Here is a 1,412-nt window from a genome sequence, read left to right on the forward strand (position 1 = left end):
GTGGAAGGAACCAAGATGTCTTCCAGTAAATGAATAAACTACTTAATATTTTTCTGCAGTAAAAAGGAATGAGCTCTCAAGCCGTGAAAAGAGGTAGAGAGATCTTAAATGTATATTTCTAAATGAAAGAAGCCAATCTAAAAAGGCTATATGCAGTATGATTCCAACTATATGACATTCTGAAAAAGGTTAAACTATGGAGACATTAGAAAGATTATTTACTGCAAACACTTGGGGCAGGGAGAGATGAATGGTGTATCTCAGAGGTCTTTTACTCTATATGATACTATAATGATAGATGCATACTTGTCATTATACATTTGTACAAATTTATAGAAGGTACAACCCCAAGAGTGAACCCTAATGAAAACTAGGAACCTTGGTTTATTATTTTGGGTCAGTGTAGGTTCATCAGTACTAACAAATGCACCGCTGAGGGGATGATGATGATGATAGGAGAGAATATGCATGTGTAGAGGCAGGGAATATTTGGGAAATCTCTATACCAACTGTTTAATTTTTCTGTAAACCAAAAATGGCTCTAAAAAGTAAACTCTATTATAAAATCAATCTTTATCTGTTTTATTGCATCAAAAGTCACATATAAATTTATCTTCAAGGATTTAAGATGCAATAATAAACTCTGTGCTATAAAGTATCTGAAAAAATGTATTAGCTTTCAAATCACTTTACTCACCTATTTAAAGATAAGCTGTTCAATAATCCTGATATTTTTCTTGAGATAAGACAAAATCTCCTAACAGGGCATGCGAGACCATTAATAAGCAGATTTCTGTATATTTGTGACAACTTATGTTGCACCATATTGACATCCTTTTATTCTCTCTATTGTGTTGTTATCACATTGGCTTGGGATTCTTGTTACATGATGTGTTTTGACTTAGAAAACTTCTACAAAAGCATGCTTGCCAACTCATTCTAACTTTTCCATTTCACAGCTTAGGCATCTAGTGTAAATGCTCATCTCATGTGATCTGAGAGCACTGTACTTTCCTTATATTACATAGTATGAATTTGGGGACTTAACTAGCTACAGAAAATGAGTTCTGTAAGAGTACAGTTGAGATCTTTCTTCTTATGACTGCAGAACTAACAAACAGCTAGAGTAGTGCCTGGCAAGAAAAAAGATTCAAAAGAGGAGAAATTTTTAAGCATTATTTAATCGCTATAGACAGTACCTTTTCACTGTACTCCAGAAGATGAATGCAGTTAAATTTATGGTCATAATTTCAATAAGTAATTTAAGCCAGTTTCAGAATTTACCAGTTAATAGCTTGGATAATTTTTACTTTGTTTTATTTATTTTGTTTGTTTAAGCTTACTAATAACGTTTTAACAGGGGCATTAATAAAATGTAAACAAACCTTTAAACAGCACTGACATTAGTTCTC

The 1,412-nt window shown here is 32.6% G+C and overlaps 1 annotated feature.

Annotated features, from left to right (window-relative positions):
* Positions 799 to 999: a silencer, noted in NCBI's record as "peak5873 fragment used in MPRA reporter construct". NCBI's record gives its function as "represses an SCP1 promoter by STARR-seq MPRAs in K562 erythroleukemia cells {active_cell/tissue: K562}" and the evidence as "EXISTENCE:reporter gene assay evidence [ECO:0000049][PMID:32103011]".

Source organism: Homo sapiens, chromosome 6, assembly GCF_000001405.40.
Source record: "Homo sapiens chromosome 6, GRCh38.p14 Primary Assembly".
In the NCBI taxonomy this organism is placed as follows: Eukaryota; Metazoa; Chordata; class Mammalia; order Primates; family Hominidae; genus Homo; species Homo sapiens.